This window comes from Homo sapiens, chromosome 7 (genome assembly GCF_000001405.40).
Source record: "Homo sapiens chromosome 7, GRCh38.p14 Primary Assembly".
NCBI lineage: Eukaryota > Metazoa > Chordata > Mammalia > Primates > Hominidae > Homo > Homo sapiens.
The window spans coordinates 138,676,036-138,692,002 of record NC_000007.14 but is presented as its reverse complement, the minus strand read 5'-3'; the positions used below and the strand labels follow the sequence as shown (position 1 = coordinate 138,692,002).

The 15,967-nt window shown below is 43.7% G+C and overlaps 1 protein-coding gene and 1 pseudogene across 1 annotated transcript in view; one reads left to right on the top strand and one right to left on the bottom strand.

Moving 5' to 3' along the window:
- Positions 1–15,967, top strand: part of SVOPL (SVOP like) — a 107,078-nt gene that overhangs the window by 9,360 nt on the left and 81,751 nt on the right. Inside the window, exons 2-3 of the mRNA NM_001139456.2 lie at positions 12,924–13,039; positions 13,478–13,569. Coding sequence (NP_001132928.1) covers positions 12,958–13,039; positions 13,478–13,569 — 174 coding nt within the window. The 5' untranslated portion in view covers positions 12,924–12,957. The remainder of the gene's footprint in view (positions 1–12,923; positions 13,040–13,477; positions 13,570–15,967) is intronic.
- On the bottom strand, positions 2,440–3,042 carry RPL17P27 (ribosomal protein L17 pseudogene 27; annotated as a pseudogene).

Below are 15,967 nucleotides of genomic sequence, written 5' to 3'. Positions count from 1 at the left end.
CTACTAAAAATACAAAAGCTAGCTGGGTGTGGTGGTGCCTGCTTGTAATCTCAGCTACTCAGGAGTCTGAGGCAGGAGAATCCCTGGAAACTGGGAGGCAGAGACAGAGCGAGACTCTGTCTCAAAAATAAATAAAATTAAATTAAAATAAATAAAAACTTGGGCTGGGCACAGTGGCTCATGCCTGTAATCCCAGCACTTTGGGAGGCCGAGGTGGGTGGATCACCTGAGGTCAGGAGTTCGAGATCAGCCTGGCCAACGTGGCGAAACCCCGTCTCTACTAAAAATACAAAAATTAGCTGGGTGTGGTGGTGCACGCCTGTAATCCCGGCTTCTCGGGAGGCTGAGGCACGAGAATCGCTTGAACCTGGGAGGCAGAGGTTGCAGTGAGCCGAGATCACGCCATCGCACTCCAGCCTGGGTGACAAGAGCGAGACTTGGTCTCAAAAACAACAACGACAGCAACAACAGCAAAACTTGTTCTGCTCAGTAGTAAGTGGAAGATTTCCAGGTTTCTTGCTGTTCAATGTAGAAAACAAGGAGACTTGATGGAAATTGTTTTAGTGCCCCTCTAAAATGTAAACCTTTAAGATTGTTAAAATTGTAAAATACGTTTAGATGGGTCTGAGACATCATAAAACATGACTGATAGAAGAGATTTAATGTTGACTGAAGACTGAACTCATTGTTAAGCATTTTAGTTGTAACTGAACTTAGAATGAACTCACTAGGATTTTAAAATACTATTTTTCCATCAAACTGAATCGTTTTATTCCTAGATACTATAAAAGCCAGATTCCTTTTGGTTTTAAAGTCTGCCGCTGTGATTTGCATTACTATTTTATTTTTCTGTTTTTAAAAAAGGAATAAACATATAATTGACATAATCCACCTACATAAAAGTCACCATTTTAAAGAGTGCAATTCAGGCTGGGTGCGGTGGCTCATGCCTATAAGCCCAGCACTTTGGGAGGCCAAGGCGGGTGGATCTTTTGAGGTTAGGAGTTTGAGACTAGCCTGACCAAAATGGTGAAACTCAGTCTCTAGTAAAATTACAAAAAAATTAGTCGGGCATGGTGATGGACACCTGTAGTCCCAGCTACTTGGGAGGCTGAGGCAGGAGAATCATTTGAACTTGGGAGGCAGAGGCTGAAGTGAGCTGAGATTGCGCCACTGCACTCCAGCCTGGGCAACAGAGTGAGACTCTGTCCCATTAAAAAAAGAAAGAAAGAAAGAAAGAAAAGGGTACAATTCAGTGATCTTGAGTATGTTCACAAGGTTGTGCAACCATCACCATGGTAGAATTCCAGAATGTTTCATCACCTGCCAAAGAAACCTCACACCTATTATCAGTCACTCCCTACTCTCCTCCTCCCCCCGCAACCACTCATCTATTTCTGTCTCTGTGAATTTTCACATAAATGGATATTTCATATAAATGGAATCATACAATATATAGTGTTATATGACTTCTTTTGCTTAGCATGTTTTTGAGATTCATTCATCATGCAGCAAGTATCAGAACTCCATTCCTTCTTATTGCTGAATGATATTCCATTGTATGGATAGACCACATCTCATTTATCCATTCATCAGATGATGGGCATTTGGACCATTCCTACTTTTGGCTCCCAGATGCAAGTGATCCATCTTGCATCTGGAAGTTACAGTGAGCTCAGATCACGCCATTGCACTCCAGCCTGGGTGACAAGAGTGAAACTCTATCTCAAATGATGCTTCTCTGACCATTCATGTATGAGTGTTTGCGTGGACACGTGTATTAGTTCCCTAGGGCTGCCATAACAAAGTACCATACACGGAGCGGCTTAAACAAGAGAAATTGATCATTTCATGATTCGAGAGGCTAGAAGTCTGAGACCAAGGTTTTGGCAGGGTGGGTTCTTTCTGAGGCTGGGAGGGAAAATCTGATTCATGCCTCTCCCCTAGCTGCTGGTGGTTGCTGGCACCCCTTGGGGTTCCTTGGCTTATAGATGCATCACCCCCATATCTGCCTTCGTGTTGCCAGGCCATTCTCCCTGTGTGCTGTCTCTGTGTCCAAATTCTCCCATTTTATGAGGACATCATTTACAATGGGTAAGACTCCCACTCCACTCAAGTATAATTTCATCTTTTTTTTTTTTTTTTTGAGACGGAGTCTCACTGTGTTGCCCAGACTGGAGTGCAGTGGCATGATCTCAGCTCACTGCAACCTCCACCTCCCAGGTTCAAGAGATTCTCCTGCCTCAGCCTCTTGAGTAGCTGGGATTACAGGTGTGCGCCACCGTGCCCGGCTAATTTTTGTATTTTTAGTAGAGACGGGGTTTCACCATGTTGGTCAGGCTGGTCTCAAACTGCTGACCTTGTGATCCACCCACCTCAGCCTCCCAAAGTGTTGGGATTACAGGCAGAGCCACCACATCTGGCCCTTTTTTTTTTTTCTTTTTTTACTTTTAATTTCATTTATTTTAATGCTGAATTTACTCTCGTGTCATAAGTTTTTGTTTCTTCTGGGATATCTTTTTCTTCAGGGCAACCTTGTCTTCTGGTTTAGGAACAATCTGTTCCTTTTCAGTAAGGATCATCTCGATGTGGCAGGGAGAGCTCATGCATGGGTAAATCCGACCATAAGCTCTGTCGATCCGGCGGCGCATCTTAGGTGCTTTGTTCACTTGGATATGCTCAATGACCAGAGAATCTACATCTAAACCCTTAAGTTCTGCATTGCTCTCTGCATTTTTAACCATGTGCAGCAAAAATTCAGCACTCTTTTTGGGCCACCAACCTTGTGTCCAGCCCCACTGCTTGGCCTGGGCACACCTGCCCACTCCACCATTGTAACATCGGAATGGTACGCACTATTTCTGTAAAGTGACATCTTTCAGATACTTCGTGGCTTTTCATATATGCATACCCTTGATGACCTGGGAAGTGTCATGAGTGTTCTTAAAGTGAACACAAAGATTTGAACGTCTTGATTTGCATGATTTTGTGGAGTTCTCTGGGTCAAGTGAATAGCAAACCATTTCACAGATCACCTCAGGCCGCTTAGGGAAAGAGGAAGAGCTGACTTTATCTTAACGAATTACATCTGCAATGATCCTAATTCCAAATCAAGTCACATTCTGAGGTACTAGAGGTTAGGTCTTCCATATATAAATTTTGATGGGCACACAATTCAACTCATAAGATTATGTTCTCAATTCTCCTGAGGTTATACCTAGGAGTGGAACAGCACATACGGTAACTCTATGTTTACCCTTTGAGGAACTGACAAACTGTTTTCTACAGGGGCTACATGATTCTAAATTCCCACCAGCAACACACAATGGTTCTGATACCCCCACATCTTCACTAACACTTGCTACTGCCTTTTTAAAAAAATAATTATAAAGTATGAGAAACATACTGCCTACCTTTTTAATTTTAGGGATCTGGCTGGGCGCTGTGGCTCACACCAGTAATCCCAGCACTTTGGGAGGCCAAGGCAGGTGGACCACTGGAGGTCAGGAGTTCAAGACCAGCCTGACCAACATGGTGAAACCCCTGTCTCTATTAAAAGTATAAAATTAGCCGAGTGTGGTGGTGCATGCCTGTAATCCTAGCTACTTGGGAGGCTGAGGCAGGAGAATCACTTGAACCCAGGAGGCAAAGGTTGCAGTCAGCCAGGAACATGCCACTGCACTCCAGCTTGGGCAACAAGAGTGAAACTCTGTCTCAAAAAAAAAAACCCCAAAATTTTTCGGCATCCTACTGAGTAGGAAGTGATATCTTGTGGTTTTGATTTGCATTTCCCGAATGACCAATGATGTTGAGTCTCTTTTCATGTGCTCATTGGCCATTTGCATATCTTCTTTGTAGACATGTCTATTGAAATCATTTGCCCATTTGAAAAATTAGGTTGTCACTAGGCACAGTGGCTCACGCCTGTAATCCCAGCACTGTGGGGGGCCGAGGCGGGTGGATCACGAGGTCAAGAGATCGAGACCATCCTGGCCAACATGGTGAAACCTTGTCTCTACTAAAAAATACAAAAATTAGCTGTGTGTGGTGGTGCACACCTGTAATCCCAGCTACTCAGAAGGCTAAGGCAGGAGAATCACTTGAACCTGGGAGGGGAAGTTTGCAGTGAGCTGAGATCATGCCACTGCACTCCAGCCTGGTGACAGAGCAAGACTCTATTTAAAAAAAAAAAAAATTAGATTTTCTTTTTATTATCGAGTTGTAAGAGTTCTTTATATATTCTGGATACTACACTCTTATCAGGTATATGGTTTGCAAATACTCTCTCCCATTCTGTTTTTTTTTTTTCACCTTCTTGATAGTGTCTTTAGATGCACAAAAGTTTTAAATTTTTATTAAGTCCAATTTTTTTGTTTTTTGCCCAAGTGTGGTAGCACTCCAGCCTGGGCAAGAGAGTAAGACCCTGTATCAAAAAATAAAAATTAAATTAAAATAAAAAAAATGTAGGGCAAGTGCAGTGGCTCATGCCTCTAATCTCAGCACTTTGGGAGGCTGAGGTTGGCCGGATCACCTGAGGTCAGGAGTTTGAGACCAGCCTGGCCAACATGGCAAAACCCCATCTCCACTAAAAATAAAAAAATTTGCTGGGCATGGTGGTGTGCACCTGTAATCCCAGCTACTCGGGAGGCTGAGGCAGGATAATCACTTGAACTCAGGAGGCGGAGGTTGTGGTGAGCCGAGATCACGCCATTGCACTCCAGCCTAGGCAACGCTAGTGAAACTCCGTCTCAAAAAAAAAAAAAAAAAAAAAAAAGAGGAAAAAAGGAAAAAAAAGAGCTTCCAAATAAAGAACACCCTTCAAATGGTGTTCCAACAATGTCTGAAAAGGGAGCAGTAGTTTTAGAATTGTCTGTCCTCATAACTTTCAGGCTCCCAGATGGGCTGAGAGACCAATTATTTTGCTTTTCCCACTATGTGTAAATAACAACTTTTCATACTTTCTATGTTCGCTCTTGAGAGGGAGAATTTCATGGATTATCTCTGAGCATTATTGATCTTTTTCCCATCTGGGAATATTTATGTCTCTGTGACAGTGTTTAAGAAAACAAAGAATATATACACTGCAGTATAATTGTTTGTTATGTTTATCTTTTGCGTCCCCAGCTAGATTAAAAACTAGGCCAGGTGCGGTGGCTCATGCCTGTAATCCCAGCACTTTGGGAGGCCAAGGCAGGCAGATGACCTGGGGTGGAGAGTTCAAAACCAACCTGACCAACACAGAGAAACCCCGTCTCTACTAAAAATACAAAATTAGCCGGGCGTGGCGGTGCATGATTACAGGCATGCTACTCGGGAGGCTGAGGCAGGAGAATTGCTTGAACCTGGGAGGCGGAGGTTGCGGTGAGCCAGGACCACGCCATTGCACTGCAGCCTGGGCAAAAAGAGTGAAAATCTGTCTCAAAAAAAAAAAAAAAAAAAACCCAAAAAACAAAAAACTCCTTAGGCCAGGAACATGTCAGATCCTCCTCTGAAGCCTCCACAGGAACTACAGAGCCAGCACTTGGCAAACATTAATGACCTTGATGTGCTACTACACAGCTGTTCTCTGGCTTCTTTTTTTTTTTTTTTTTTTTTTTGAGGCGGAGTCTCACTCTTTCACCCAGGCTGGAGTGAAGTGGCACGATCTCGGCTAACTGCAACCTCCGCCCCCCCCGGGGTTCAAGCGATTCTCCTGCCTCAGCCTCCCAAGTAGCTGGGATTACAGGTGCCCACCACCACGCCCAGCTAATTTTTGTATTTTTAGTAGAGACGGGTTTTCACCAGGTTGGCCAGGCTGGTCTCGAACTCCTGACCTCAGGCCATCCACCCACCTCGGCCTCCCAAAGTGCTGGGATTACAGGCGTGAGCCGTGGCACCTGGCCCTCTCTGGCTATTTTTATGTTTTGGCAAAAGGACAGCTTGGCTTGAGATTTTTTTGTTTCTGTTTTTGTTTTAACCACTTTATTGAGACATGAATGACATAAAAACTGGTACATATTTAATGTATACAACTTGAAGAGTTTGGAGATAAGTATCACTGTGAAACCATCACCACCATCTATGCCATAAAGCTACCTCCAAACGTTTCCTCTAGCCTTTTTATTTATTATTTATTTTATTTTATTTTTTTTTTGAGACAGTCTTGCTCTGTTGCCCAGGCTGGAGGGCAGCGGTGCAATCTCAGCTCACTGCAACTTCTGCCTCCTGGGTTTAAGTGATTCTCCTGCCTCAGGCTCCTGAGTAGCTGGGATTACAGGTGCCCACCACTGCACCCGCCACCACGCCTGGCTAATTTTTGTATTTTTAGTAGATATGGGGTTTCACCATGTTGGCCAGGCTGGTCTCAAATTCCTGGGATTACAGGCATGAGCCACCACACCCAGCTATTATTATTTTTGTGATAAGAACACTTATCAGAAGATCTACCTTTCTGGCAAAATTTTAAGCGCATGATACCATATTGTTAACTATAGGCTCAATGCTGTAGGAAGATCTTTAGGACTCATTCATCTTGTATAGCCAAAATTTTGTGCCTTTGACTAATACTTCCCTGTTCCCCCTTCCCCTCAGCCACTCAGAATGGCATCCACTATTCCACTCTCTGCTTCTATGACTTTGACTATTCTAGATTCGTCATGTAAATGATACAACATAGTATTCATTATTCTGTGCCTGGCTTGTTTAATTTAGCATCGTGTCCTTCAGTTTCATCCACCTTGTTGCAGATGGCAGGATTTCCCTCTTTTTTAAAGATGAATAATATTCCATTGTGGCCGGGCACAGTGACTCACACCTGTAATCCCAGCACTTTGGGAGGCTGAGGCAGGTGGATCACCTGAGGTCGGGAGTCGGAGACCAGCCTGACCAACATGGTGAAACCCTGTCTCTACTAAAAATACAAAATTAGCTGGGTGTGGTGGCACATGCCTGTAATCCCAGCTAGTTGGGAGGCTGAGGCAGGAGAATCGCTTGAACCCAGGAGGTGGAGGTTGCAGTGAGCTGAGATCCTGCCATTGCACTCTAGCCTGGGCAACAAGAATGAAACTCTGTCTCAAAAAAAAAAAAAAAGAAAAGAAAAAGAAAAATTCCCTTGTATGCATGTACCCAATTTCCTTTTCCACACATCCGTTAATGGACATTTGGGTTGTTTTATGTTTTGGCTATCATGAATAATGCTGTAGTGAACATGGGAGTGCAGATATCTCTCTGAGATAACTGATTTCAATTCCATTTGGATATATGCAGAAGTAGGGCTGTTGGATCATATTGGTGGTTCTATTTTAATTTTTTGAGGATAGTTCAATACTGTTTTCCATAGTGGCTGCACCAATTTACATTCCCACCAACAGTGTACAAGGGTTCCTTTTTCTCCACATTCCCACAACTATCTCTCTCTTGACCTTTTGATAATCGCCGTCCTAACAAGTATGAGGTAATGTCTCACTGTGGTTTTGATTTGCATTTTTCTGAGGATTAGTGATGTCCTGCACCTTTTCATTGGCCATTTGTACTGGCTGCCTATCGGCAATTTGTATGTCTTCACTTGAAAACTGTCTGCTCAGGTCCTTTGCCCATCATTTGAGTTTTTTGAGTTTTGCTCAAGTTGCAGGAGTTCCTTTTTCCTTTTTTTTTTTTTTTGAGATGGAGTCTTGCTGTGTTGCCCAGGCTGTAGTGCAGTGGCACAATCTCAGCTCACTGCAAGCTCCGCCTCCCAGGTTCAAGTGATTCTCCCGCCTCAGCCTCCCGAGTAGCTGGGATTACAGGCACCCACCATCGTGCCCTGCTAGTTTTTGTATTTTTAGTAGAGATGGGGTTTCACCATGTTGGCCAGGCTGTTCTCGAACTCCTGACCTCGGGTGATCTGCCTGCCTCGGCCTCCCAAAGTGCTGGGATTATAGACGTGAGCCGCTGCACCTGGCCAGGATCTTCTTTGCCACCTGCCCCCCTGCCGAGATAGAGTCCCATTCTGTCACCCAGGCTGGAGTACAGTGGCATGATTTCGGCTCACTGCAACCTCTGCTTCCCAGTTTCAAGTGATTTCTCCTGCTTCAGCCTCCCGAGTAGCTGGGATTACAGGCATACACCACCACACCTGGCTAATTTTTGTATTTTTAATAGAGACAGGGTTTCACCATGTTGGCCAGACTGGTCTCGAACTCCTGATCTTGTGATCTGCCCGCCTCAGCCTCACAAAACGCTGGGATTACAGACATGAGCCATTGTGCCCGCCCAAAGAGTTTCTTACATATTTTGGATATTAACCCTTTGTGAGTTCTGATTCTACTACTTAACTAGTGATCAGACATTGGAAAAGTTACATAAGCATCTCACAACTGCCAGGCACAGTGGCTCATGCCTGTAATCCTAGCACTTTGGGAGGCCAAGGCGGGTGGATCACCTAAGGTCAGGAATTCAAGACCAGCCTGGCCAACATGGAGAAACGTACGTCTCTACTAAAAATACAAAAATTATTCGGGCATGGTGGAGGGCACCTATAATCCCAGCTACTCGGGAGGCTGAGGCAGGAGAATTGCTTGAACCCGGGGGGCAGAGGTTGCAGTGAGATGAGATCCCGCCACTGCACCCCAGCCTGGGCAAAAGAGCAAAACTCCATCTCAAAAAAACCCCAGAATCTCAGAACCTCATTTTTTTGAATTATTTATTTTGGAAAATACTACACATACTCAAAAGTAGTAGATAATAATCTTCTTCCAATAATTTTCAATAGATCACCATTCTTTTTTCATCTATACACCCATGTAATTCCTATACATGCTGCCCTCACCCTATTATTTATTTTAAAATAAATCCCAGACATCATCATTTCATTAGTAAATATTTTAGTATGTACCTCAAAAATACAAGGATTCTTTCTTATACCGTAGCCATAATACCATTGTCACACCTAATGAGGCCATCAGTAATTTCTTAATATCTTCAAATTTCCAAACTTGCTAAAATTTCCCTGATATTTTCTGTATCTATATCTCTCTCACATTGCTGTTTTTCTTTTTTTTTTCTTTTTTTTTTTTTTGAGATGGAGTTTTGCTCTTGTCGCCCAGGCTGGGGTGCAATGGCTTGATCGCTGCTTACAGCAACCTCCATCTCCTGGGTTCCAGCGACTCTTGTGCCTCAGCCTCCCGAGTAGCTGAGATTACAGACATGCACCATCACGCCTGGCTAATTTTGTATTTTTAGTAGAGATGGGGTTTTACCATGTTGGTCAGGCTGGTCTTGAACTCCTGACCTCAGGTGATCCACCCACCTTGGCTTCCCAAAGTACTGGGATTACAGAGGTGAGCCACTGCACCCAGCCACACACTTGTTTTATTTTTAAATTTTTTATAGTTGATTTGTTTGAATGAACATCCAAACAAGGTCCATTTTTGATTTGATGTGTCTCTTTTATTTTAGTCTATAGGTTCCCCTTTCCTCTTCTTTCCCTTGCCATTTATTTAATGAAGAAACTGGGTCATTTTTCTTATACAGCTTCCAGCATTCTGCATTTTTCTTATTGCATCCACATGGTGTTGTTTAACATGTTTCTTCATTTCCTGTGTAAGCTGGTAGCTAGAGCTAGATTCCTGATTCGATTCAGGTTCCATTTCTCTTTATGAGAATACTTCACAGGTGATGTTGTATACGTCTTCCTGTTGCATCTCATTAGGACCCAATGCAATCTGCCTGTCTCTGTTTCCATGGTGTTAAGATTTTTCAGTGGGTTCAGGTGTTATCAGTCATATTCCTCTCATAGCAAAGTTCACCATCAGCCTTTCACCTCATAGTTTACAAGCCAGTGATGACTGTTGCCTGGATCCATTATTTTTTTAGAAGGTGCAAAACAGTCATGATTTAATTCCATCCTTTTCTCTGCATATGTTAGCTTTATTATTCACAAATAATTTTCCCTCAGCAACTGTTTTGTTACCCTGATGTACAGACAATTTGTACAAAAAAGTCAAGATATTTACTATTTTTGCTAGTTTTCAGAATGAGTTTATTTCTTACCATTCTCCAAAGGTGATCAATGAGGTCTTCATTATGGTATTACTGTGAACAAAGGGATTTTAACATCTTCAATGTGTTTCAATTCTTGGCAGTCATTAGTTTTTCTGATGTTCAAATTGTCCCATCTTTGGCCAGTGGGAGCCTTTTCAATTTTAATTTGTTTTTGTTTTTTGAGATGGAGTCTCACTCTGTCACCCAGACTGGAGTGCAGTGGCCCAATCTTGGCTCACTGCAACCTCCGCCTCCTGGGTTCAAGCAATTCTCATGCCTCAGCCTCCTGAGTAGCTGGGACTACAGGTGCATGCCACCACGCCTGGCTAATTTTCCATTTCTAGTAGAGACGGGGTTTTGCTGTGTTGGCCAGACTGGTCTCAAACTCTTGGTCTCAAGTGATCCTCCTGCGTCAGCCTCCCAAAATGCTGGGATTACAGGTGTGAGCTACCACGCCCAGCCCTCAGTTTTAATTTTGTAATCTTTCATTACAACCCCAGGGGTCTTTGATATTGCCCATGCTATAGGCTACGACAAGATGCCCCAGGCTCAGTTTGTACATTTCCTGTCCCTGAGCCAGAATCAGCCATTTACCTAAGATGCCTGGGTTTGTTTGTTTATGTTTATTTATTATATATGTTATATAATAATATTTGTTAATATATTTGTTAATATTATATGTTATATAATAATCTCGTATTTCTATTTCCAGTTCAAAATTTGTCACCTAAAGTGCCTGGGTTTGTTTGTTTATATTTATTATATATGTTATATAATAATAATATTTGTTAATTTATTATATTTGTTAATAACATATATTTGTTAATATTATATGTTATATAATAATTTCATATCTCTTTCAAGTTCAAAATTAGGATTATAAATTTTTTACGTAGCTAAATTTGATTTTATATTTATCTTTTTCCTCTTAACAATGAAAACCTGGGTTCCTAACAATATTAACAAAATTACTTTCCTTATCCTAAATATGTACTAATATGCAACTGATGATACCAATATTATTACTAACAATATCATTAGCAAGAATAGTTTAGGCTTTCTGTTTATCCCACTAGGAATATACAATTAAGTTACTATGTCTTAGAGTCATCTGAAAAAAAGTCTGGCCGGGCAAGGTGGCTCACACCTGTAATCCCAGTACTTTGGGAGGCCGATGCGGGCGGATTCACAAGGTCAGGAGATCGAGACCATCCTGGCTAACACGGTGAAACTCCGTGTCTACTAAAAATACAAAAAATTAGCCGGGCGTGGTGGCGGGCGCCTGTAGTCCCAGCTACTCAGGAGGCTGAGGCAGGAGAATGGCATGAACCCGGGAGGCAGAGCTTGCAGTGAGCCGAGATCGGGCCACTGCACTCCAGCCTGGGCGACAGAGCAAGACTCCGTCTCACACACACACACACACACACACACAAAAGTCTGTGTGGGTAAGCCACTGACTTGGTACCCATCTTTACTTGTCTTAGTTTTCTTTTGGCTTTTAGAGTTAAGAATCCTTTTTAGGGTTAAATGCAAAAAGGCGAGGTTAAAAAGAAGCAGCCAGGCATGGTGGCTCACGCCTGTAATCCCAACACTTTGGGAAGCCAAGGCAGGCGGATCACTTGAGGTCAGGAGTTTGGGACCTGCCTGGCCAACATGGCAAAACCCCATCTCTACTAAAAACACAAAAATTAGCCCAGTGTGGCAGTGGGTGCATGTAAGAGGGAGGAGAATTTCTTGAACCAGTAGGCGGAGGTTGCAGTGAGCCGAGATCGTGCCACTGCACTCCAGTCTGGGCAACAGGGCAAGACTCTGCCTCAAAAAAAAAAAAAAAAAAAGACAATGACATGCAAGAAAGCACACTGGAAATACAGTATCTGCAGAAGTGTGAAGTGCTGCTTTGCGATTGTTTTTCTGTATCAAAGCCATCTTCCCTCCCACTCAGAGGATGCTCTTGGTTAAATTGCCAAGGCCTGCGTCTGGCCCCAGGCTCAAGGTTGGTTACCGGTCTCAGAGTCCTGGTTGTCTAATTTGGCCTCTTAATTTAGCTCGATTATCTAATTTAGCCATTTAGTCTCTCCATTTCTCAGGTTCCTTACGTGCCAGACAGTGATAAATTATGATATTTCACAGATCTTCTGTGAAGATTAGAGGGAATAATTCATGTATGTAAAGTGTTCAGGATAATGATTAGTGACAAATACATCCCTCATACAGAGTAATAATAGTAATGGCTTCCATTTATCAAGCACATTAGTACTTGCCAGTTATGGGGTGAGTGCTTTCCGTGAACTAACTCATTTAATCATCACAACAACCTTGAAAGTTGGGTGCCATTATTATATCATCCCCATTTTAGGAAACCCATTTGAGAAAACTGAGGTGTGCAAAGGGCAAATTCCTCAAAGCCACATACCTAAAAAGTAGTAGGGAAGGCTGGGCACAGTCGTTCACGCCTATAATCCCAGCACTTTGGGAAGCCGAGGTGGGCGGATCACCTGAGGTCAGAAATTCGAGACCAGCCTGGAGAACATGGTGAAACCCTGTCTCTACAAAATATACAAAAAAAATTAGCCAGGCATGGTGACGCATGCCTGTAACCCCAGCTACTCAAGAGGCTGAGGCACGAGAATCGCTTGAACTCAGAAGGCGGAGGTTGTAGTGAGCTGAGATTGCACCACTGAACTCCAACCTGGGCAACAGAGCGAGACTCCATCTCAATCAATCAATTAATAAAAAGTAGTAGGGGAAAAAAAACACTGAGCTGCTTGGTTCCAGAGGCCCGGTGTGAAAAGAGGATAAAAATACATACCTCATTCGATTTTTGTGAGGGCTTCAGGAAATTTTGTGTGTAGTGTGCCTGGCATATACTAACTATCCAATAACCATTATATTTCTTTCCTTCTTCCCTCCCTTGCTTCCACCAGGGAAGCTGTTTGGGGAACTTGAGCTATTTAGAAGATGGCAACCAAGCCAACAGAGCCTGTCACGATCCTCAGCCTTCGGAAATTGAGCCTGGGGACCGCAGAGCCACAGGTTAAAGGTGAGATTATCATAGAAGTCTCCAGCTCAACCTGCTGCTTAGAGTTAAGAATCCTTTTTAAGGTTAAATGCAAAAAGGTGAGGTCAAAAGAAGCAGCCAGGCATGGTGGCTCACACCTGTAATCCCATCACTTTGGGAGGCCGAGGCAGGTGGATCACTGAGGTCAGGAGTTTGGGACCTGCCTGGCCAACATGGTGAAATCCCGTCTCTACTAAAAATACAAAAATTAGGCCAGTGTGGCAGTGGGTGTGTGTAATCTCAGCTACTCAGGAGACTGAGGGAGGAGAATTGCTTGGACCAGTAGGCAGAGGTTGCCTACCACTGACCCCCCGTATTAACTTGTTTTTATAATAATGGGTTGGCTTTCTGAAGCTGATAGTCCACACGCATTCCCTTCCCTGCAGAAGCAATTTTTTCCACTTTGTCTTTCGTTGTTAGAGCCAAAGACGTTCACCGTGGAAGATGCAGTGGAGACTATCGGCTTCGGGCGTTTCCACATTGCCCTCTTTCTGATCATGGGCAGTACTGGGGTGAGTGCTCCTTCGAGATGTTGACGAAAAGTGTCAAACTCTGTAAAATATTTGAAGAGATTTATTCTGAGCCAAATATGAGTGACCATGGCCTGTGACACAGCCCTCAGGAGGTCCTGAGAACGTGTGCCCAAGGTGGATGGGGCACCGTTTAGGGAGGCAGGAGACATCCATCAAATACATTTAAGAAATACATTGATTTGGTCCAGAAAGGCGGGACAATTCAAATTCAAAACAGGAGTGGTGGGGGAGGGGGGACTTTCAGGCTATAGGTAAATGTAAACATTTTCTGATTGACAATTGGTTGAGTTTGTCTACAGACCTGGGATTGATAGAAAGGAGATGTTCAAGTTAAGATAAAAGATTGTGGCCACACACGGTGGCTGACACCTGCAATCCCAGCACTTTGGGAGGCTGAGGCTGGTGGATCACCTGAGGTCAGGAGTTTGAGACCAGCCTGGCCAACATGGTGTTGAAACTCCGTTTCTACTAAAAACACAAAAATTAGCTGGGCTTGGTGGCTGGTGCCTGTAATCCCAGCTACTCGGGAGGCTGAGGCAGGAGAATCGCTTGAACCCAGGAGGCGGAGGTTGCAGTGAGCTGAGATCGCGCCACTGCACTCCAGCTTGAATGACAGAGCGAGACTGCGTCTCAAAAAAAAAAATAATAAAATGAAAAAAAAAAAAAAAAGATTGTGTAGACTAAGGTTCTTTTGAAGTCTTATAGTGGCTGCCCTTAGAGACAATAGATGACAAATGTTTCCTATTCAGACCTTTAAAAGGTGCTAGACTTTTAGTTAATCTCTTCAGGATTGGGAGGGCCTGGAAGAAAAAGATCTAGCTCTGTTAATAGAGATTCTTTACAGATGGAAATTTTCTCCCACAAAGAACAGCTTTGCAGGACCATTTCAAAATACGGCAAAGAAACATGTCTTGGGGTAAAATATTTGACTTATTTCTTTTTCACATAATGTTATGCCAAATCGGAAAGTAAGTCACGATCTATAGGGTTAATAAAACCCATCTGATGAGAATTTATGGTTTGTAGGGCATGACTCCCCAGCCCCCTTAGACAGGAATTTGGGCAAAATAAAAACAATCAGAGCTTAGGCCTCAGAGATCACGTGGGTCTTCAAAGCTAACATCATTGGACGCAGCAGTCTTTTTTCTACTGACCTCAGGCTCTGGGCTCTCCAGTCCAGGGGGTGTAGGGATAAGAAAAAGAGCAGGAGGCCGGGCGCAGTGGCTCACGCCTGTAATCCCAGCACTTTGGGAGGCCGAGGCGGGCGGATCACGAGGTCAGGATATCGAGACCATCCTGGCTAACATGGTGAAACCCCGTATCTAATAAAAATACAAAAAAATGAGACGGGCATGGTGGCGGGCGCCTGTAGTCCCAGCTACTCGGGAGGCTGAGGCAGGAGAATGGCGTGAATCCGGGAGGTGGAGGTTGCAGTGAGCTGCGATAGTGCCACTGCACTCCAGCCCTGATGACAGAGCGAGACTTCATCTCAAAAAAAAAAAAAAAAAAAAAAGGAACCCCAAGAGGTGGGTAATCCAAAAATCACTTTCATTCACCTTTGGCAGGTGTTCGGTTATAAAGCAAGTGAGCATTTGTGTCTATGTTTTGGGAATTCAATACTCATTTTTTAAAATGATAGAAATGGAAGTATTGGGAAGAATGGAGAAAACTATGGTATTATTTTATGTAAATTCGAACACATGGCTCTCAAACATTTTGTGCATAAGAATCACCAGAGACACCTGCTGTAATTACATATTTTCAGATCCTTTAAGAGGCACTGATGAAGGCTTGTTTACTGCTAGGGTTTGAATGTGTCCCTTCCAAAACCCAGGTGATGCCAATGAGATAGTGTGAAGAGGCGGGGACTCCTCCCTCGTGAATGGGATTAAGGCCCTTATAAAAGAGGCTTCATGCAGCAGGAGTTTCAGCTTGTTTGCCTTTCCACCCTGTGAGCGCAGTGGTTCCTCCACTCTCGAAGGACACGAGGGAGTAGGTCCTCTCCGGGCAGCAGAACCTGCTGGCACTTTGATCTTGGGCCTCCCGACCTGCAGAACTGTGAGAAAATGAATTTAGATTTCTTATAAATTGCCCAGTCTCAGGTATTTTGTGATAGCAGCACAAATGGACTAAGACAAACACCCTACGCTATTTTGAAGAAAGAAGAATGACAGCTTCACCCAGAGGCTTTCACAACAGTGGTGATGTCTGTGAACCCACACCACTACTCCCGCTTTCTCCTTTAGTAGGTAAGGTGAAAATACGTTAAGAACTCCAGACCAGGCACTGTGGCTCATGCCTGTCATCCCAGCACACTGGGAGGTCAAGGCCGGTGGATCACCTGAGGTCAGGAGTCTGAGACCAGCCTGGCCAACAT